Below are 23,436 nucleotides of genomic sequence, written 5' to 3'. Positions count from 1 at the left end.
TTTCTCTGTTTTTATTCTACATGCCCCTGCCCCCATTCTCTTACTTAATTTTAAATTTTACTTTTTCCTCTTTAAATTACCTTGTCAACTGAAGTTCTTTTTTCTTTGCTAACGAATTTTTCAAATATTCTCCTGGTAAACATTTATTTATGTTACAAAATAAGCTCAGAATTCTACTTCTTATGTCAGCTTAGAAGTGCAGTGCTGGTAGCATTGCCGTCATTCTAATGATATGGTCTATCATTTCAAGTTAACGTGTTTCACGTTGGAGCTCTCACCAACAGAACTTATAATCTCCAGCACATCAAGTGCATGATCAAGTGCATGGGACATTTTTCTGCCACTAATAGAGATTTCTTTATCTCAGCTGTTCACCAAAGCATAGTAAATTGCACAAGCATTGTCATCAGCAGTTCGAATACAGAGATGGGCAGATTATAAGCCATGCTGCTCCTCAGCTAGTCTTGGGGGTTCAAGGTCCCAATCTCCGATCAGGCATGGAGGTGGTTTTGGTGGAGAAGAAATCTGATGGTAGTCATCAGCGCTGGATACACCAGGAAGACAGCAGGTAATCCCATTATATTTGGGTTTACTATATCAAAAGGTGAATAGGATCCTAATAAGTCTAGCATGGTCCCCACAGAACAAGATGAACTATATCTGAGAATTCTGGGTCTTCTATTTAACTTAGCTGATAATTCTTTATCCTAGCCAAAGAAGAGGAAGGGAATAAAATCAAATGTAAATGCTAGGTAAGCTACATACAATTTATCCACAATCAGATTCAGAGGAGGAATGTTCCCTCTGATCTCCTGGGTATAGTTTTATCTGGCCATTGGGCTCAAGACTGAACTTGCATCAATGTCATTTTTATGAAATGAATAGATCAAATAAGAATTCTAAAACGTCCCCAATTTTCAAATTTTTTGATACTTTTCATTAACTTACTCCCCATCCTTCCCCCAACACACACCTTCCCTCTTTCCTCCACCTTCATAAAATAACCAGTTTGTGGTTTCCACTCACGCAGTATAAACTAATTCCTATCTTAGCAAATATATCAACCTAATTCAATGTCTGGTCCTGGATCCAAATTTGAACCAACTACAGTACTGTAAAAAAGTTATTTTTGAGATAATCAGGAGAAATATAAAACAGCTTGGCTATCTGATGACATTAAGGAAGTCCTATTAATTTTGTTGGGTCCAATAATGGTTCAATGGTAATGTTAAAAAAAAAGTCCTGATAAGTTGGAAACATTGTAGTATTTACAGATAAAATTAAAAGCTATCTTAGATTTGTTGTAAGACATTCTATCATAAATAAAAATTTTAAAAGTTGAGGGGAATGGATGAAATGAGAATGGCAGAATGTTGATGGCTGTTAGGTCCATGCTGGTTGATTACACATTTCTCTCTCTCTCTCTTTTTTTTTTTTTTTTTTTTTGGGTGCATATGGAACATTTCTTTAATCGAACAAAAAAGAAAACAATTCCCTGTTTTTTAGATTGGTTTGCTTCAAATTCTACCATTAGTGTGATATGGTGGGCCTCCAGGGACCTCTTTAATCTCTTGAAATAGTGTACAAAGTGTATGTTTGTGCATCGTGCAATTTATTTTTTCTGGGAAAGAGCTGAGATTTTCACTGGCTTCTCAAAAGGTCTGCGATGAAAAGGCTTATGAATCAGTACTTTGAGGGAGGTTGCACAAGCTTCAGCAGGCGGCAGCAGCGAGCCCTGCCTGGGCAGGAGAGGAGCTGGTCTTACTCTGCTCACTGAGATGAGCAAAGCCTCCGGCAAGGAGAACTCGCTGGGCTGATGTTAGAAAAGACGGGAAAACCAATTGTGTAGACAGACCTGGTGAAAGTGTTTCTTTGCCCCATTCACCTGGGCTAAGCTGCCTTTGCAATGTGTAGGTAGGACAGCAGGCTTTTGTTTCTGTGAATGGTTTGCCATATGGAACCAGAATTCATTCATTCAACTGCCAAGGGTTATTGAGGGCAGTGTTTTAGGAGCTGTTGCTTTACAAAGAACAAAACAGATAAAAAATCTTTACTCTTATGGAGCTGACATCCTAGTGTTTCCTCATTTCTACATTGTATTTAGCAATTTATATTATTGCCTCGGCTTTCTGTATTATAGTAGAGGTCCCCACTTAAACCTAAATTGCAATTTGAGCATGGCTGATAAATTTGGGTGGACATGCATGGGGAATGAGAATGTGACCCTACGGCAAGAGAAAGCCATTGCATAATGAGTTTGACCCAGGAATACTTGGTCATTGGAAGAGAATACTAGTTCTGAATCTTGCTCAGTGTCTGTCTGCCTAAAACTCTATGAGATGTTGGGTCATGTGTAGCACTGCCTTGGAAAATCTAACCATGTATAACACAGAAGAGAAGGACAGTTTCTTTCCATCTCCTCCCACTTTGCAGAACATTCTGTACTTTTGTCATCTTGGGAGCTCCTCATGTCAAGACACGGAAAAGAGAGGCAGTTAGTGGAAGGGAGATGGTGATATTGGTTGATCCGTCATTGGAAACGTCAGAGTCCAGAGAGAAGAGGTGGAGCATCAGGGGGCCCAGTGGGACAAGATTTGCTGATAAGCACAAGTCCCCCTCTAGGGACACCCAGACAGACTTGAACAAAATAGTTTTTTTTGTTTGTTTTTTTTTTGAGACAGAGTCTCTGTTGCCCAGGCTGGAGTGCAGTGGCATGATCTCGGCTCACTGCAAGCTCCGCCTCCCGGGTTCATGCCATTCTCCTGCCTCAGCCTCTCCGAGTAGCTGGGACTACAGGCACCCGCCACCACGCCCAGCTAATTTTTTGTATTTTTAGTAGAGACAGGGTTTCATCGTGGTCTGATCTCCTGACCTTGTGATCCGCCCTCCTCGGCCTCCCAAAGTGCTGGGATTACAAGCGTGAGCCACCGCGCCCGGCCAAGAGTTTTTGCAGAAGTCTTGTTGATTAGGTGTGGGCATGATTCAGAACAATATATGTCCCATGGCAGAAGTGTGTTTGTACAGCGACAGTAATTCTGAGGTTTATTGCACATCTTCCCTTGACATATTGCTTTGTTCTCTTTCATGTGGATGGGTGGCTTTTAAAACTCATTTGTTTTGATGAGCTGGTGAAACCTAGAGAACCGTGGGTTACACTATGTAGTAGAACTTAATGGAAAATTGCATTTATGTTAACCACAGTCTTTTTATCCTCCATATTTTACCCAGGCTAGTAAATTAGGGTATATATACCCATGTACATTACATATGTATATAATATATATCACCCTATGGCTGAAGGAGATTGCCCAAGAAAGGATAAACTTGCAATGGGGTCCCCTCCCCAAGGCTAGGGTTCAGGACTCATTAAAAAAGGTATGGTTCCATTCCACTGAATTGCAGAGCAGTTTTGCTGGTGTACCTGGCCAGAGCTTGTCTGTAGTGGCTGAATGTCTTAGTCTAGTTTCTGTTACTTATAACAGAATAACTGAAACAGGGCCGGGCATGGTGGCTCATGCCTGTAATCCCAGCACTTTGGGAGGCTGAGGTGGGAGGATCACCTGAGATCACCTGGCTGGACCAGCCTGGCCAACATGGTGAAACCCCGTCTCTACTAAAAATACAAAAATTAGCTGGGCGTAGTGGCACATGCCTGTAGTACCAGCTACTCGGGAGACTGAGGCAGAAGAATCGTTTGAACCCAAGAGGTAGAGGTTGCAGTGAGTTGAGATCATGACACTGCACTCCAACCCGGGTGACAGAGTGAATCTCCATCTCAAAAAAGAAAAAAAAAAAAGAATACCTGAAACTGAGTAATTTATAAGGAATGAAATTTATTTCTTACAGTTCTGGAGGTTGGAAAGTCCAATGTTGAGGGGTGCATCTGGTGAGAGCTTTCTTGCAGCTGGGGGCTCTCTAGAGCCCTGAGATGGCACAGGTCATCATATGGCACAGGGCATCATACAGCACAGAACATCACGTCACATTCCTTTTCTTATAAACCCACTAGTTTCACTCCCATTATGACCTATTAATCCATTAACCCTTTCATCTATGGATTAATCCAAGCAGACCCCTCTTGATCCAATCACCTCTTAAAGACTCCATTTCTTAATACTGCCACATTGGGAATTAAGTTTCAACATGAGTTTTGGAGGGGCATTCAAACCATAACACTGAGTGAGCAGGACATAATATTCTGGAACATATAGGGGGGTGCAGTCTGTTGCTGGGCACAGCAGCATTCAGAGGGAATGGGATGGTGGTACACTAGGAGGCCTGAAGCATGTGGTGTCCATGTCAGGAGAAAGTGAGCAAAGGAGCAATAGGCAAGCCCGGGCTATGAAGGTCCCAGGAGACCTGCTTCCTGGGCACCTCGCTGGAACAAAGCATCATTGGGTGTTCTCACTCCCAACTGCTGACCCCCTACCACAGCCAGAAAGAGCAGGAGAGCCCCTTCATCCTGCAGTCTTCTTCCAGCACTCTCTACTGAGAAAGCTTAACATCACACTTACTGTAGGGGAGAAATTCTTAAAGGATTCACATTCATTATTACAGAGCATGCATGGAGCTGAGAGGCAACACAGTGCTAAGTGGCACAGAGGGAGATCTAATCTGGTCATGCTACTTTGTAATGTGGCTAATCCTGTTTTCCCAAGGACCTTTCACCTTGTGAGTAACCCTGACCTTGTGCTGGCAGTGTCTATGACCAAGACTAGAAATGAAGTTTGTGGCTATCCAGTTATTGTTCAGGTAAGATATGTATGGCTAAAGATTAGTCATGGCCTTTTAATTAAATTTAAGTAAAGCTTTGTGCTTCCTTGTAGTGGAGGAAAAAAAAAAACTGTCATAGAATCCTATTTGAATGTTGTTAAAATATTTACAATAGTCTGCCTAGATTTTAAATTGAACATGTTCATGTACCTCTTAATTTAGTTTAATCCAACAGATGGTGATTGTGGGCTTGCTGCATGTCAGGCACTATGCTAGTTACTGAAATCAAACCCAATGGCAAGCATGAGAAATTGTCCCAACAGCATTCATCAAGCTTATGGTCTCAGTGGTGGCTGCAGGCAGGTGGATGGCTATTAGATGCACCTAAATTTGATCATCAGGAACATATGCAAGGCTCCCGTTTATAAAGGCCTTGGCAGCTGGAGAGAAAGAACCTAGTCAGGGAGGTCTTCCCGAAGGATGCAAGATCCTCAATGTTAATTCTACCAAACAACCCATTTGAAATTCTCTTTTCATTCACTGTTGCAAATGCTTAAAGCAGCCAGACAATTTATGGAGACTCCAGAGAAGTCTGGCTTCATTTGAGTTTTGGACAAAGACCTGGGAAGATCTTTTTTTTTTCACATTTTTCTGTCATTCTCACATGCTTATAACCAAAACCACTCTTAAACGAATATGTGTTTTTCCTTGCTAGTAAGGGAGAAAGTGAAGAGGCATTCCTGCTTTGCATGTACTTTCTGTGTCCTCCTCAGTATTTTCCATCCTCTTGTTGAACAGAATAGATTGCCTCCAGATAACATTTGTTTCATTCTGTGATTTTAATAGCAATGAAGCAACTTGTTTTGCAGGCCCTGAATCCAAAATTGAGACATAGCAATCTGGACAAATACCAAAGCTTAATTAAGTCTGCTATCCTGGTGATAAATATGGACTAAAAAATTATTCTAGGAGATAGAGTACATATAACATTACATTCTTCTCTGTCAGGTGCCTCATCAGCACAGACCACAGTGAGATACAACCTCATACACATACAGTTTTAGTACCTTAATCATATTCATAAAATTATAGATATGGATGGTTTCTCCCAAGGTTACCATTTCATAAGAAATAATTTGACCCCAAGGTAATTTGGATTACCTTTCAAGAATTTTTTGTTGCTGGTGTTGCGTTTATTGAAACAACTCGTTTGTGAGAAAATATTAAAGTTCATGTAAAATAATAAAAATGAAGCATCACAGGTTAATGCTACTAGACCCTTTTCTGTCCCTTGAAAATATAGTCTTTGGTTTTTCAGACCTCTGAGGGAGGCTTTATTGTCTGACCCATTAAATTAATTCTTGGGACTCATTTATTTTCTTCTTTGCTATTAAGCTCTCGCTTGGTAAAGTAGATGTTATTAATTATAAAAGTTCCTTGAGGTGTTATGACATATTTAGTTAGAACTAATCTACTGGTTTAAGTTCTGTTAAATTGAAACTATTTCTTTACTTGTACTTGAGCCAACTTTCACAATTAGAATAAATATATTGTTTCTATTACATGTCTAACTGAATGTACTTAAAAAATAAACCTCTTTGATAATCAATGAAATATAAATTAAAATATCAACAAGGTACTTTTTTTCATTTATTATATTCATGTTTTGGAAATATTGCCCATTTTTTGGCAAGAATGTAAGGAAAATGGGTCATTTAGTATATTATTGGCACAAGTGCAAGGTAAAATAATTTCTCTAGAAGGCATTTTGATATATCATAATCTTTAAAATGATTTTTTTATTGGCAACTCTACTTCTAGAAATTTGTCCTAAAAAATTATCATGGATTTCCCAAATATTTATTTACACTATTTGTTTATTTTAGAGAAATTTTGAGAAAGAACCTTCATGTTTAACTATTGGAGATTAGTAAAATATCCCTAAAATGAAATGGTATATATTTTTAAAAGATGTTAGAAAAAGGTTCAGGGAATATTGTTAAGAAAAAAAATTGCAGTTACCAAATTGTATGCATTTTATGATTCTATTTTTGTAAATCAAATAATGTGTATTTATAAACATATAAAAGATTGCATGTCTAATCACTAAAATTTCAAGAGTAGTAGTTGTCACTGTGTGGTGGGATTATGAGTAATTATCTGCACTTTCTGGATATATGCAATGAAAAACAAGACACTATAACCCTCACATGAACTCACTTGACTCCATATTTTGCCTCTTTTTTCAGAAATATAAGCCGTACAACAATGGAGCTGCCAATCAAAAGTGGCATTACATGAAAAATATAAAAGCACTTGTGGCCTTTCATAGCACTGCCTTGGATAAGGAAATTACATCAGCAAATTATGCTGGTGTCTGTACATCATCTGTGATTAAAGAAGAAAACATTGATCAACCAGTAAGTGGTTCCTTCCTCTCAAAGATAAAAGAAAAATAGGGTAAAAGAGAGTAATTTAATAAAATGAGAAAATTTTTTTCCCTAGAAAACTTTATGTTCATACAAGTTGAATGCTGATTTTTGAGTGAAATCACTTAGACTCTGATTCTGGTAGGAAAGAATGAAGGAAAATTGTGAGAGAAAAAGAATTAGGTAGTTTATATTAATCTAATGTACTTAAAATTTTTATAATTGAAATTTTCATACATATTCTAAAGTAGAGAGACTAGGGAAATAAGTCTTTATTTATCCATCATTCATATTTAACTATTATCTAGGTTTTGCCATGTTTGCCAACCCCAGACATTATATTACTTCACCTCCGTATGAATCACATACTTCCAAAAATTTTGGACATTTTCTGACATACTCATCATGCCATTCTCACAGCTAACAAGATTAACAATAATTCTTTGGCCATCTAATACTCTATCCTTAATCAAATTTCCCAGGTTGCCCTAACATTTTTTTTTTATGGTTTGTTGGTTTGTGTCAAGATTCAAATAAGGTCTCTATGTGACACTCAGTTGCGTAGTCTGGCTCCATTTTCATATTGAATGCCCCTTAATGGGGTTTGTTTACTTTCTTCTTTGTGGCATCCTTTGACTTATTTCCCCATCCCCCATAATTTCTCTAAATGAAATTGAGTCCTATAGTTGTAATTAGATTTATGTTTAACATTTTTTGGGGCCAGAATCTTCATAGGTTTTCCCACATGTTTCCTATTTATCACTCACATAGGCAATGTGTGGGTTTTCCATTTTCAGTCATGATAGTTATGAGTGGGTTCAGGTGTTTACAACCTGATTTCATGTTTAAAAATTCCCCAAAGACATTTCACTTAATGTTGCCCTCTTGTTTCAAAAGGGTCAATTTTGTCTAATTCTATCATTTTTTCCTACATTGATTAACTAAACTTTTAATAGAAGGAAGAACTTTAGCTCATCAATTCAATATTTGACTACTCAAAAATATGGTTGTAAGGGAAGGTAGGATGAACACCTAATTCTTTCTATTGATGTCACTTATCTATTGCAGTGTAACAAAACCCCTGAAAATTTAGTGGCTTAAATAAAAAACCCATTTTTTGCTTGGCGAGCCGGCGATTAGAGCTGGGGTCAGCTGGGCAGTTCTGCTGGTCTTGTCCCAGGTCACTAATGTGGCTACAGTCATCTGGTGGTTCTTTAGTAGTTGGGTGTTTTTATGGGGACTGGATGGTCAAAGATGGCGTCCCTCACCATCTGGTGGTTGGCAGGCTGTTAGCTGGGAACATTGGTTCTTCAACTACATGTCTTCTCGAGCAGGCTAGCTCAAGTTTGTTCACATTGTGGTCTCGGGGTTCCAATGGCAGCTAAAAGAGAATAAGCTCTGATGTGCAAGCACTTCTTATGCATCTGCTTGCATCACATTTGTTAGTGCTGTGTTGGCCAAAGCAAGTCACATGGCCTTTCCCAGATTCAAGGAAAGAAGAAAAGGAGAAAGATCGTACTTCCCGATTGGAGGACCAAAACTGTCACATTTTAAAAGGGCATGCAAATAAGAGTGGGATGGTTTTATTGTGGCCATCTTTACAAATAATCTGCCACAATTTCTAGTGGCCAGTTTGTAGAGTTTTAAATTGATGCCAGTTTACTTCCAACAGTCTCCGAAAAGTTGCAGTTTTGTTTTTATTTGCTTGGGGTTTATTTGTTTTTATTTATATTGTTAGCATCATTAAAACTCATAGGATTTTATATTTAAACATTTTCAAAATGTTTTAGTTATCAGTCTTTCTGTTGCTCCCTAATTGTCCCATTTTGGGGCAGTGGAGGCTCCTTCATGTTGGCTCCTGTGTCTTTTGGACATGATGATGGCTTCTTTTCATTCAGGACACAAGATATCCCTTGATTGTCTTGTATATTTCTTGCCTCAAATCTGGAGCTGGCCATTTCTCCAAGAAGCTGATTTTGCACATAGTTTATATTCATTGGTGTCGAATTGTCGTTACAGAATTTGGAAATACTTTAAATTTTTTAATATAGCATTTTGGCTAAATTTATGCTAAATTTAAATTTAGCATAAAATTTAAATTTAGCATTTTGGGGTGTTAAAAGTGCTATATTTATATTGTAAAATGTTCTACAGCAATGCTATAACAATTTAGATGCTCCTATATAAAGCCATCTTTGTCTCCCATTTTAGGGATACTGTTATCTCTCACCTGATGGAAAGAGAAAAACTATGCTCTGCTTGGCTTGTGGACAATCCATGAGAACAGAGAAAGGACTGAAACAATTGCTTCCAGGGGTTCCATTCCTCTGTATTTCAGGCACCAAGACTCAGAAGCCCTTCTTACAAGGGCCCTTCAAGGTCATCAGTGTGGCTGAGGTATGTAATGATCTGAGCTCTGCTAATGCATGTATGGCAACAATTTGGAAACTTTGATGCATTCATTATCTGCCTTGCACTCAAGTTCATCTCCACTCATCCAATTCATCTTCCTCAGATGCACCTTTACCATTCTACCTGCATTGATTTCCTTTTCCCCATTGTAATTTAAAATGCATTGTCTATTAATAGTTCAATAGACTCTTTGAAGTTAATTGGGCACTTCTGCAGCTTTAATCATTTACTGACATATTTCACTGTTCTCAGTGTTGCTTTTAGGTGAGGAAGTAACTGCAAATCTTTACTTCGTGGAACAGCTTTTTGCCTATATCCACAGGAAAAAACTTCTTTTTACTAGCATGGAACATTTCAGGGGGAATTGGATGTGTTGTTGTTAATGACTGTTCAGGTTGGGTGCCTGAATTCACACGTCTATGTCTAATAGTATTTAGAGTTCACGGAGGAACAACAACAAAAAAAACTCTTACCGCTTTCCTATAACCTTTGTTTAAAATGGTACCATTTAAAAAACCCTCCCTTTCAACTGTAGAAGTAAAAACTATGGGAACTTACACACCTGAATAAAAAGGAGCGATTCCTAAAAGGTGGAATATATCTTCCAGTCTGGTGTGCTCTTCAGGGCTTGCTCACCTCATCCCCAGATCACCCTCCTCCCTTCCCTAATCCTGATATGCATTGCGGTTACAAAAAACATCAACAGAAGCAATAGCTCTGAAGGAGAAAGGAAGTCAGTCCTCTGGGAAACCTGAAAGCATCTGGTTTGCTTTGAAGATAGTGGGATAATCTTAAGGAGATGGTGAGGAGTTGGTTGGAAAGAATCCCCAGTGCTACAGAATTTCAGACAGAACTTTGCCCTCAGGGCAGCATCCTAGGTTGGGATGAAAAGGGAAAGCAGAAGAGTGGTGTTCACCACCCTTACTACCATGTGTTTAAAGCTACAACCATTCCCCTCCCCATTCATCAACATCTTCCACCATATGGTGGAATCATCCTAAAGTTAAAAATTCAGAGGCTATCCATAATGTTAGTGTATTATTACTTTAATCCAGGCTCTCTCTGGCCATGGCAGAGAGAAAGCAAAAAACAAATAAACAAACAAAAACAAGAGAATGCCAGAAACACAAGCCAGATGCCCAAAGTCACCTAGTGACTCAGTGACAGGCCTGGGAGGGAACTGAAGAATTTGGATCCAACATCCTTCCGGCTCTAGTATTCAATATCTATAAAACATGAAGAGAGCATTGCAAAATGTAGACACCACACACGTATACACACATTTATTAAGAGACTAAAGTGTAGCACACTAAAACAAGAAAGTTTGAGTAAATGTACAATTTATTTTTTAAAAAATTAGGTTGATTTGTCGTGTGACAAGGCTGAAAAAACTCTAAGTTACTACCAAGCACGTCTATTGTCTTTACGGATGAAGACCTGCACGCAAGCTGCATCTCACAGTGGCATGGCAGCCACACACCAGAAGGCAGTGAAAATAATTGCATACAAAAATGGGGATGGGTATCGTAATGGGAAGTTAATTGTGGCTGGAACATTCCCCATGGTAAGTGGCTATCACTTAAATGCTGCTTGCATCTTCAGAGGTAATGACAATGGCAATTCTTCTTAAAGAAAAAGCAGTGGGATTGAGTGATAAATGTCCCTGGCCAGATTCACCAGTTAAAGCTGATGAGATGAAGATCTCTGTTTACTTAAAGACATTTTATTTGATTGTATGTCAGTGGATACAGACTTAGAAAAACTAGAAACCAGAATTCAGTTTTTAGATTGGCTCTAGAGCAGAGATCTATAAGAAAGAGGAAAACAAAGCTACTGGATTTTCTTCCTTCTTGTGATAGACTGAATGCCTTTTTCTGCCTTGTTTCTCATGCCAGCTTCAAGTTGTATGTCATCTGAATCATCCAAGAGATGCCACCTCATTCACCATCTGGAGTATCTGGGCATTTATGTGTTGATAGGATGTTTTATTTTATTTTCAAATTGGGGAAGCAGGGGCTGTGTTAGGAGGAACTACCTGGTCTGCCTTGGGGGCTGCTCCTCACAGTCATAGGAAGAGAGAAGAAGCTAGAAGGCCCAAACCCAGCTTTGTCCTTGCACTACTTGGTGATTATCTTGACTATTCACTCTGGCCAATGCCTTTAGCAATGTATTTTACAAGTGATATTTGATATGATATGGAGTTACCCTGCAGACTTCCTTGCAAGCGCACATATCTATTCCCTCACCTCTTTGGCTGAAAATATTTTTTTTAAATTAAGGTATTGTTACTCAATAAACTAAGCAAAATACAGAAGTTAGCAACTCCAAGATTCACCCAGGGATCCACAGCTGGCTTTTATGGTCTTGGACAAAAATTTTAATCTTTCATCCTGTTTTTCCATCTGCAAAATGGAGGTAATAATACCTGTCAGTTCTTGGTTTGAAGGTTAACTACTTACTTATTTTAAAGCGGTTTATCAGTATGAAGTATTACAACAGTTGTATAACATAAAGCAACAAATTTGAAAGTGGATTTTTAAGTTGAACAATTCTTAGAAGATACTCTGATGCTAAAATATATTAATATATGTCAGCTGCCATGTTAAATTTGTGGAGATAGGAAATTTACAGCTGGATTGGACTACTGTTGTGAAATTAGGTAGGACAATCTAATATCCAAAATAGTCTGTAATCAAAGATCAGCATCATTAGTAATTCAGCTTTCTATTTTCTCAAATTCAATTATTTTTTTTTTCAGATTTTTAGAATGACAAGCTCTTAATGATCATTCCCAATGCTATCACCTTTGCCTGTCAGATCCTTACTGCCTGTGTTATCTAGCTTCTTACAGAATGCACGGAACAACTTGGGCTTGCCAGAGCAGCCTCCAAAGTATATACCAAAGATGGAACCCCAATCTTTACCTTGCGTGATTTGGTTTTATGGGCTCTAGATGAATCCTTTCTCCAGAGAGACTCTGAGAAACAAAAGCAAGATGCAGCTCCTGTTGGAAAAGAACAGATAATTGTTGAAAGTATGGAAGGTTGGCTACAATCTACAGCATTTAGCTGATTCTACTTATGCTTGATCATGAAAACGTTAAACATGATTATTTCATTTAGTCAGTTTTTTCAGAATTTCAAAATCATAGGAAGCTACTTTTGTGACCCGAAGAGTGTCAATGAAATTGTCATGTTGTTTTCACCTTGCAGAATTATAAGAAAAGTTAAAAATTAATGCAAATTTTGATTTTAGCACTGAAACAATAAATAAACTGCATATAATTAATAAAAATATGTTTGACAGTTCAGCTACTTTATGGAACATAATCATTTTTTGTTCTTACTCAGAACCAAACTGAGTAAGAACAGACTGGTTTTGTTCTTACTCAGAACCAAACCAACTGGAGACCACTTAAGAAATTGGGGCTGGGTCAATGGAAATCTCTTGCTACTATTAGAAGAGAAGGTGTCCTCTCTATGCTTTTACTGTCATTCAAGTCCCCTTCCCTGTCTCTGTCTTCTCCACTTTTTACTATCTCCCAGAAGCTCCAGTCAATATCCATCTATTGCATTTTTGGACACACTGCATGATAATGATCTGTTTATAGCTGTGTGTCTTATTAGACTATTTGCAATTTGAGGGCAGTGACTGTGTGTGTCCCAAACGACAGTCTGCTAAATAAAAGCAAGTCTTGGTAGTAGTGATTCAGTAGTTTTCTCAGTATGAGATTTCCATGGTTGTACTGAGAGGCATAATTTAGAAGTTAAGAACTTGGATTTTGGAGCCAGAATACCAGGGTTCAAATCCCAGCTTTGTCACTTGCTAGCTCAATGGCCTTGGGTAAGTCGTTTAACTATTCTTGTATTCCAATTTTCTTATTTATAAAGTTAGGATACATTTTTAACTAATTTTACTATTTTAAATTTCTTACATAAAATGTACATATTTTACTATTTGTAAAATTGTCAATTACTTCATGGATATGGATATACACACACACACACATATATGTGTATATATATTTAACATGTCTCCATTATATAGATAACATTGTCTTAGTCCATTATTGTTGCTGTAACAGAATACCACAGGCTGGTTAATTTATAAAGAACAGAACTTTATTTCTCACAATTCGGGAGGCTGGGAAGTCCAACAGCAAGGCATTGGTAGATCTGGTTGTCTGGTGAGGGTTACGTTCTCCAGAGGGGAAGAATGTTTTGTCCTCACACAGTGGAAAACAGAAAGGGCAAAGGAGCCCAGCACTGTGTGAAGCCTCTTTTATAAGGGTCTTAATTCTATTCACAAGAAGAGAAGCCCTTATGACCTAATCACCTCTTAAAGTCTCTATCTCTCATAATATCATTACATTGGCCATTAAATTTTAACACCAGAATTTTGGAAAGCACACATTCAAACCATAGCAAGTATATCTATATATCTATATTTTCACTTGAACACATATATATGTGTATATATATTCAATATCTGTATTCGTTTGATCATTATTAATATATTCATTTGGTCCTCATAAATATGAATAATAGTCATTTGTGTATTTATATACACACACGCACATATATAACTTAGAACAATGCCTGGTTGATATTTACCAAACATTCAGTGAAATTACTTATCACTTTTGTGTATAGGATATTACTTATTTTGTATTCAAACGAGTTTTAAGAAAGAATTATGTGAACATTTAATGCCTAGCTGATTGCTGAAGCATATATTTCTGCCTTTATTTGGCATACAGAATATCTGAACTTCAGGTTTTATAAAATTACAATTTCAAACACTCTTCTTTAAATTCTTATTTAAAGCCTGGTTGGAGTAATATTATTAGTGTAGGACTATCAAAAGGGCATTCTTTTGATTCCATCTCTTCCTCTCTATATTCTAAAGGGTATCCTTAAATCAGGCAAGCCCATCAGTAGGCTGCCCCCTTTTATGGAATTGTGACTTGATGTTATGCCATCAGTTTGCATTAAGGAACTTTAAAGAAACAGCTGTTGGTCAGAATTCAACATAGTGCTTACTATGCAGGCAGTCATTAAGAGCACAGGCTTCACTGGAAGATGGCCTGGATTCTAATCTTTACTCTGCCATCACCCAGCTATGTCACTAAAGCTCAGTTATCATATCTGTAAAAGAGGACTGATAATAAGCCCTAACTCAGAGTCTCAGAGTATCATTTTTAGAATCACATGAGATGATGTATGTAAAGGCCTTAATAAAATACCCAGTATATAGTAACTTCTCAATATATATTAATTTTCTATTGCAGGGTACTGTTAGCTATATCACGAATAGGCTCTTTATGAGGACCCTTAAATGAATTTTTCTCAGATCTCAGAACCAGGAAAAGTGCATTTTCTATGGAATTTCTCACTATATGTGGGCCATATGAAGCTGGAAATTGTGTTTTTCTCTTTGCTTTCGCCATTAGGAAGCTCAGAGCCCAAATTTTGCTTTATCTCTAGCAAGTAAAAACAAGGTGGTATTTATTTCTGTTTAACAATAAAAATAATATCTAACATTTATTGGATGTTCATCAGAGTAAATAGACCAAACACTATTTCTTCTAAGCATATTACTTTGTTCTTTTAAAAAAAGAAACAGCAGAATGAGATATTATTATTCATTTAAAATATAAGAACACTAAGGTACTTTATCCCTGGATTTAGTCTATTCCTATACTCCTTTCCCCTGTGCTTGATTTTTTTATCTCTATTTTTTCCATTTCAGAGTAAGAATTTTGGTAAGCCACCTCAAATTTCTTTCAGAACTAGGTGATGTGTAAGAAAGAAATTAAAACATATTTACAATCTTATTAGTTTATTTTTTGGGTTGTATATGAAGTTTCTGACCAAAATTATGCATTAGTCTCTGATTTTGGCATTGCCTGTTTAAATCAAATTAAGTTATTAATGAATAATAAAATATTTTGAATAAACAAATTCAGAAAACAAATTTATTCATTATTCGTTGAACAATGATAAATGTGTCATTTTTTCCACCAGAAAATCCAAGAATGAAAGTGAAAAACAGATTATTTGCAAAATCTGTGACATCCGATAGTTTGGATGGTATAGACAAGTCTTTGCTTACCCTCATCCTCAGAAATCCTATTGCCATCTGGGTGTCTTGTGGTGAACCATTTCTACCTCCAAATGGTAACTTTTTTGTTTTTGCTTTCTTTCAAGCAAGTATATGAAGGGAGAGAGAAATACATTTTATGCCATCATAAGAAAATGAATTAAATGTGTATAATATCAACATAATAACATCACATTTATACAAAGAACAGAAGGTTCATCAACTAATATGTGCACAGGGATAGCTATACTCTCATGTTTGCACATTTGCCTGTTTTTTTCTTACTGGAATTGAGTATTCTGTGTGGAAAAATGTCTAATTTAGTTGATAAAGAGATCCTTGAGAAGACTGAGAATAATGGTATACATTAGAAAATAACAAATGAGTTTAATTCACACTGAGGACGACCTGTCTGCACATTTTCATTTTTAAGAATTGCACCCTTTAGGCAGTAGGTGGATGTTTAAAAAATGAATGGTTCCAAGCCAGGCTTTCATCACCTCCAAATAGTTTGTGGAAGTGGAAAATGAAATATGGCTATTGCATATGGTAAATCTATATAATAAAACAGCATCGTTCTTCTTTTTTTTACCCCTCCACTCCATAAAGAAATGCCTTAAGCCCTGTCATCTTTCAAATGAAGTTTCTTTTAATGACCCTTACCTTTTAATTACTTGTTTCTAATTGAATCTATTTCTTTGAGCAGAAAGTTCTTTATAAATTATTGGTGCGCGTGATAAATTACTGTTGATAAAATATCTTGTATTTTTATTATTCTAGCTTTGCAGAAAGCAGAAAAATTAGAGAAACAGAACTGGCTAAAAAAGGACAGAATTTTGGCTGATCTAGATACCATGAGACACAAAATGAGACAGTTAAAAGGTCAGTATGAACTATATCAAGCATAACCATATTTAATTCAAAATGTAGCCCCAAATTGCTAATGGTTATTTTCTACCATTAGATACCAAGTGTTTAAAGAGTACTATATAAAACAATATATAAATATTGTTTTACAGAAATCATTTGAGCAAAGTCTAAAACCTAATAATATATTTTTTGGTCTGATTTTATATCTGTAAATTTTATATTAAAATGAATATCAAATGACTTATGCATACGTCTTAAAAATTAAAACTTAGGAGGATACCTGGGCAAGAGAAACTACCTCATTGTTTTTGAAATAATCCCTCAACAGACGTTTTGTGGGCTTCAGAATTAATCTTTAAACAAACCTTGCTGTCATTCCTTGGGTATTGCTGGGGAAGAAGTTTTTTTTTTTGTTTTTTTGTTTTGTTTTGTTTTTTTAAGTAATCTGAATGAGGAAGTACTAAAATCTTCAGAAGTCAGTGTCAGTAACTTAAAATGACTCCTTTTTATACAGCATAAGACATGCTATTCACAGTCAAAGTGATCAATTATTGGTCTCCTTCTTCCATTCTCTTTAACACAGAATCTTAGGTTTCTGACCCTATACTATTCCCAGGACTTGAGATACAAATGATTCTTTGGGGAGAAACAATGTACTATGGACTTGAGTCTAGGAAGGAACACATTTCAAACTCAGTAATTGCCATAGCAGAATTTCAACTCCTGATGCTGTCTTGTGTTAAAAGCATATGAATCTTGCTTCAATAAATAGCAGAACTAGTCCTAACTGCATTAGACTTAACTGTGGTTTGCAATGGCTATTACCCAGTTCTTACCAAAAGAAGAATTGGGTGTAAGTGAAAATAATGACTACTACTAACTTCTACCACTCCTACTGCTAGACATTTTCACTTGAATGTTCCATGGACATTTCCAAAACTACAACTGTCATACTACCCCAACACCAATGCCTCCTTTGTTTCTGCTAGTAGAGGGTTCTACTACCATCTACCCAGGTGTTCCTCCTCAAAAACCTGGAAGTCATTCTTGGCATCTCCCTCTCTCTCACCTTCCCCAAGCAAATATTCAGTAAGCCTTGTCACTTTGAATCTGTTAAGTTGATCTCAAATGATTCTAACTCTCTCCAGCTATATATCATTATCCAAGTTCAAGCTACCATCATCTATATATTCCTTGGGACCATTGGAACAGTTTCCTAACTGGTCTCCCTGCTTCCATCTTGACAGCGGTTTCCATTCTAGAAATAATGGTGACATTCTGAAGTTGAAGTTATCATACAAAAATGCGAAGGTATTATGATACTCTAGGCACAAAATCTTGCAAGGTTTCCTATTATCTTTAGGACAAATCCTTGAAACTCCTCAGCGTGGCCCTTTATAATCTTGTTCTCTGTAAGTTTCTGTTTCTCCTTGCCCACTACACTTCATACATTTTAGCTTTCTTTTAGCTCCCCAGACATACCATGCGCTTTCTTAACTCTGAGCTTTCGGCACATTTTAGTTCCCTCTACCTCAAAGTTTTCCCTCTCCTGTCCTGTTAGGTCGCTCCTACTCATTCTGTGTTTTTAAGGTTACTTGTTACTTCTTTCCTGAAGCCTTCCTCAGCATTCCAAGCCTAGGGTAATGTGGTTTATCCCACTTTGAACTTCCCCTCCAATAGTCATCATCACATTATTATGATTACCCATTTATGTGACAGTCTTTCCTATGTTAGATTATACATTCTATACCCTTCTCATTTGTTCTCTGAATAGTTGTAGAATGACTGATTTAAAGAATAAATGGAACTGCAACCATTCGCTCCAGGGAGTTTTCTAAGCTGTATTCCTGTACCAAGTTAAATACTGAAAATAGCACCTGGTATGGCTGCCTTTATTAAATTCTGATTTTATATTGTCTTCAGTTTTTATTACAATTAAGTATTCAATTTTTTTTTTTTTTTTTTTTTTTGAGACGGAGTCTTGTTCTGTCGCCCAGGCTGGAGTCCAGCGGTGCGATCTCAGCTCACTGCAAGCTCCGCCTCCCGGGTTCACGCCATTCTCCTGTCTCAGCCTCCTGAGTAGCTGGGACTACAGGCACCCAAGCCCGGCTAATTTTTTCATACTTTTAGTAGAGAGGGGGTTTCACCGTGTTAGCCAGGATGGTCTTGATCTCCTGACCTTGTGATCTGCCTGCCTCGGCCTCCCAAAGTGCTGGGATTACAGGCATGAGCCACTGCGTCCGGCCAAGTATTTTAAAAATTTTAAGTTAATTTGTCATCATCTACAATACCACTGTTTAAAACTCTGTATTTGGTCAGTGATGTCCATTCTGGAGGGATCCTTTGATGTGGTTTCTCTTAGAATTGAGTGCTAACATAAATCATGTCTCTATTGACAAAGTGGTATGTTTTCTGCTATTAAATATAAATTCAACACATGCTTATAAAACATTTACCCTCATGAAGGCCTTTTTCTAGCTGGTGAGATTATGAGGATAAATAAGAACAAGTCTTAGTTAACTGCAAGGCCTATAAGATTGTGAGCTTCCTCAGGGTTGGCTAAAACAGGAGGTATGAATAGTTGCTAAATCAGCTATTCTATATTATAGCCATTGGTAATTGCAACAAGCATTTATTGAGCATATGCTATGTACAAACCACTGTGCTAGGCTGACTTTACATTTCACTGGTAAGCATGAACATTGCTAACATTAATCATAATACTAGTAATTACTTTGTTGGGTTTTCATGATTAAGTAACAAATGTCAAATCTTTACTACATGGTTAGTATATAACAAATACTCAATAAATATTGGTGTAAGGATTCCTGAAAAGGCAACTCGTTTACCCACTTGGGGTTATAAAACTGATAAATAAGTAAAACGCAGGAATGGCAGATCAGGCTAAATGATCAGTGTTACATGTAAAGGCAATGTTGGAGCATTTAATTTAGTGTGAAAGCGAAATAAGTCTGCTAACTGAAACCCCAGATTGTGTGGGCTTACCCTTGCAGACACAGGTGATTCTGAATAAGGGTGGGCCTCCCAATAAGACAGCGAATGGGGAGAGCTGTCCGGGCAAGACTCATCCCATGAAAAAACAGCAAAGCACTTGTGTTCTCTAGTTTCTAAGAGAAACAATGGGCCAAGAATCCCCAGCTTATTTTCCCCAATTTCCAATCAGAAAAATAATCTGCAATATCAGTGGAGCTCCATCCTCAAAATGAAACAATAGGACTAGGGAAGAGGCATGCCTCATTAATAGTTAGCTATTATAATTACTATCCCCTGATCTCATGTGAAATAAAACAGGATATATGGGAAAATGTAATAAGAAAATAAAAAACAATTCGTTCAATACATTATTGCATGGTTTCAATTTATGTTATTCATACCTATGTAAATAATAGTTTATCATAAAAACCTTTCCCCAGACTAAAATCTTTTGTGATGACATTATGTCTCTTCATGAAAATTATAGCGCAAGTGCATTCATTTTCTTAAGACCGTTAGAAGCAAGTTGACAAAAAATGCATAATGTTTTTTCCTGTTTTCTATACTCAATCCCTAGCTCTCAGCAGTATAAATGATAAACTATTGCTGAACTCTCTGTAGTTGAGCAAAATTTTAGTGTTCGAAATGCATTCTAAATAAAATATTTGTTGAAATGTTATTTATAAAAATGTATGGGCCATAAATTAATGTTATCTGCACTCTATAAATAGAGTTGGGTAAAAACTATATTTAGTATAAATTTGTGTTACGTATTTGTGAGGTGCCACCATGGTCTTCTCCAAAGTGCATTGCTTAATGGCATTGTCACTGTAACTCATTGACTGATTGATTCAATTATGTTTTCTTCACATCCATAAATTGCATATAAATGCTTATTAGGGACATAATAAGCATTTCTGGTTTCCCTGAAAAGTCATTATTGCCATTTATTTTTATTGCTGGATCTATTTCCATAAACTTGAGCTAGAAGAGCACAAGTGCTTTATACTCTATAAGTACCAGATTATTTTCAGTTTTGTTTGAGTCATGGTCTAAAAATCTTCACATTAAGATTATGTTGGCAACAAAATTGAGACTCAATTTCATTTTAGTAATTCTATTGTTTTATGAACCTAAGTGTTACTCTCTCTAAGAAGCCTTCTGTTGTGCCTCAGACTAGGTTAGCAACTCCTGTTAGGAGCTGTTATAGATCTTGTGCTTTCCCGGTGCAGCCCAATTGCAATCCATTATTGGTATAATCATTTCCTTGATGTCTGCCTTCCCGACCAAACTTGAGGCAGGAACTCATTCTCCAACATGTTTGTGCTTGCATTATCCAACACAACACCTCACCCATAGCTGTTGCTCAATATAGGTTTTTGGAAAGAAGATACAAGAGAAAGCATTATTTTTACTTAATAAGCTTAGAGATCAATATGAAATGTGGGCTGAGTATATCTTCAACACAGAAAAAGAAAACAATTTCATAAGTGTGACTTTTTAAACCTCTTTTATAACTATTTTAAGTGGTCTAGTGGTAAGAACACATAAATTGGAATCACCACACTTATTAAATTGTGCCTGTGATTCTTTAGAATACAGTATTCCAATAAATATTTTCTCTTACTACAGCTTCCTAACAGCATAAAGGGCACAGCAGAGGTGTCAGAAACTAATCGTGCTCGCAGGGTATTATTAGATAGAAAAAAAAATTCCTGTCTCTTGGGTTAATATTATTTTAGAAATACTTAATCCCCAGGCTGCTAAGCTAATTGTGGGGGAAAGGCTTATTATTAGTAAAGAGAACAAAACATATGTTCCAAGACTAGAAGGATGATAGGAGCTATATATGGTCATGAATTCTATTTGACTAAATTACTGCTGAACCATATCATGGATGCAAGGCTGGGGCCAGTGTGGAAATCAGCATGTTATCTTCGTCTTCTACCTGTAGAGTATGTATATGAATCCTGGCTATTTAAAGCCTGAAGCTCCCATATGAAAGAGGTATTGTTAGATATTATTACCTTAGGCATCTTTGCTTTTATGATATATTTAGTATTTTAGCTTATGCTCCTGTGTGGAACGATTTATACATAGAGAGCCAAATCAGTTTATTTGAAATCTGAAAGCCTATCATCAGAAACAAAATTTCTAGAGACTTGTTTCCTCAGGGCGGCGAGTAGCGGCATGTCAGCCAGCCACCATGGTTCCTACCAAGAGCCCTGTGCAGCCCGTGGTGGTTGAAGGAGGCTGGACCGAACAGACTCAACAGGAAATTAAACTCATGGAACTTATAAGACATACAGAGGTATGTTCTTTGGGATTCTGGACATTAAAGACTCTGCCCTTTTTATGAGTATTTAAAAGTACAATATTGAATTTTAAAATGATACTGTTAATATATTCTCAGCATCTGATCAGTTATGACCATATAAGCATATGCCAAGCATTGAGTTGGCATTTGGAGAGTAGCTGTCTAAAAGACAGCCAGCTCATATGAGGGTCTGTTTTGTTTGAATGGAGACTGGAAATTATGACCTTAGCAAAGAAGAGAAAAAGGCCCAGCGGATATGTACAAAGGTAATTGTAATAATTGTAGTCATGTTGAGCCTTCTGGCTTCATTGCTCATTACTCCTAAGGGCATGTCTCAATATGTAAAAAGAGCAAGGAGTAAAATACTAATTGCAATGGAGACATTCAGAAGTGAAGAATTAAAGAAGTGGTTTCAGTCCAATTGGTTAATCAGTCAGGATTGCCAGACATAAAAAAGTCAAAAAGATAAAGGTCAGCTGTTGAGAGAGGACCGGGGAGAGAGACCAGGGAAAACTTTTTTGCTTTGTGAAGTTTTTCATCAAAATGATATGTTCCTATTTAATAAGATTTCTCAAATTCGTGAAATGTTTTCAATCTAAATCTTAGGCACGTGCCCAAGTCAAGGTTACTAGAACAAAAGGAATTGACATCCCTAGAAATAAGACTTCGTGCCAAGCTAAGAAGGATAAATCACTGACCAGGGAATGAATGCAAAGCATTGAACTAGGACATGCTTGAAGTAGAATAAAAAGCTGCCTGGCAGGGATCTGGCAAAGTATAAGGGTGGATGCTGTATTTTAAAAGACAGCAAGTAAGGACTGAAACAACACTCATGTATACTCTTGTCTGCATTTCTTGGTTAGAGGAAATGATGTGATTCTAATAAAAAACTCATTTGTTAGATGCAGAGAAATCTCTCAGTAGGAGAAACATCATGCAAAAGTCCAAAAATACTTCTCTCTGCATTTCTTCACATTATAAATGAAAGTTAAGTGCTTTGCCAAAATGAGTGCCTTATTATTATTATTATTCTAATGATTGTTATTGCCTTTAGCATTTCATTGAAGCAAGGGGAATTTACCAGAGTCAGTGACAAGAGAGGCTAATGTACTTAATAGTTACTTCCTAAAATTTTTTCCATATAATTTATTAATTACAAGATATATCTGGATTTTATCACATTCTTCACAAACACTATCCAGACAGTTCTCTAAACACAACATTCTCTGGGCTTTTCTTGACAGGCACACCTTTCTGAAATCCAAGAAATGGAATCCAAAATAAATTTTCCAATTGCAACCAAACGTATAGCAGTCAAGCCGAGCAACCTGTATAAGCAGCCCAACACAAAACGAGTGTGGATTTATCTAAATGGAGGCAGACCTGAAGATGGCACTTATGCCTGGGGCAAAACTATTTCAGAGGTAAATCTAGTGTGAAAGGAGTGTTTCATAGGCCTGAGTTTGAATCCCAGCTCTGATATTTCTAGATTGTTTGGTCAAGCAAATTACTTCTATGAACCTCATTTTCTTGTCCACAAAATAGTAACAGTACTTTCCTCATAGGATTGATCTCATGATTGAATGAACTTATATGTGT

General features: G+C 36.9%; 1 protein-coding gene and 1 long non-coding RNA gene across 17 annotated transcripts in view; one reads left to right on the top strand and one right to left on the bottom strand.

The window, feature by feature from the left end:
• The window catches only part of DCDC1 (doublecortin domain containing 1), a 506,137-nt gene that overhangs the window by 453,661 nt on the left and 29,040 nt on the right, over positions 1–23,436 (top strand). For 10 of the 15 annotated variants that reach the window (XM_024448478.2, XM_024448476.2, XM_024448475.2 and 7 more), the window contains 10 exons: positions 368–568; positions 4,659–4,752; positions 6,963–7,133; positions 9,354–9,539; positions 10,915–11,118; positions 12,396–12,597; positions 15,581–15,733; positions 16,437–16,538; positions 21,695–21,831; positions 23,082–23,261. In XM_024448478.2, the coding sequence (XP_024304246.1) occupies positions 368–568; positions 4,659–4,752; positions 6,963–7,133; positions 9,354–9,539; positions 10,915–11,118; positions 12,396–12,597; positions 15,581–15,733; positions 16,437–16,538; positions 21,695–21,831; positions 23,082–23,261 (1,630 nt within the window). Of the gene's footprint in view, positions 1–367; positions 569–3,228; positions 3,348–4,658; positions 4,753–6,962; positions 7,134–9,353; positions 9,540–10,914; positions 11,119–12,395; positions 12,598–15,580; positions 15,734–16,436; positions 16,539–21,694; positions 21,832–23,081; positions 23,262–23,436 lie in introns of those variants that run through there. The other 5 variants (NM_001367979.1, NM_020869.4, NM_001387275.1 and 2 more) reach the window with 3 other exon arrangements.
• The window catches only part of LOC105376611 (uncharacterized), a 32,196-nt gene that overhangs the window by 6,236 nt on the left and 2,524 nt on the right, over positions 1–23,436 (bottom strand). Inside the window, exons 3-5 of one of the 2 annotated variants that reach the window (XR_007062641.1) lie at positions 15,669–15,755; positions 12,479–12,558; positions 11,194–11,956 (exon numbers count right to left, since the gene is read on the bottom strand). This is a non-coding gene — a long non-coding RNA (uncharacterized LOC105376611). Of the gene's footprint in view, positions 1–11,193; positions 11,957–12,478; positions 12,559–15,668; positions 15,756–23,436 lie in introns of those variants that run through there. The other variant, XR_007062642.1, reaches the window with a different exon arrangement.

Source organism: Homo sapiens, chromosome 11 (genome assembly GCF_000001405.40).
Source record: "Homo sapiens chromosome 11, GRCh38.p14 Primary Assembly".
NCBI lineage: Eukaryota > Metazoa > Chordata > Mammalia > Primates > Hominidae > Homo > Homo sapiens.
This window is presented reverse-complemented; position numbering and strand designations above follow the sequence as displayed.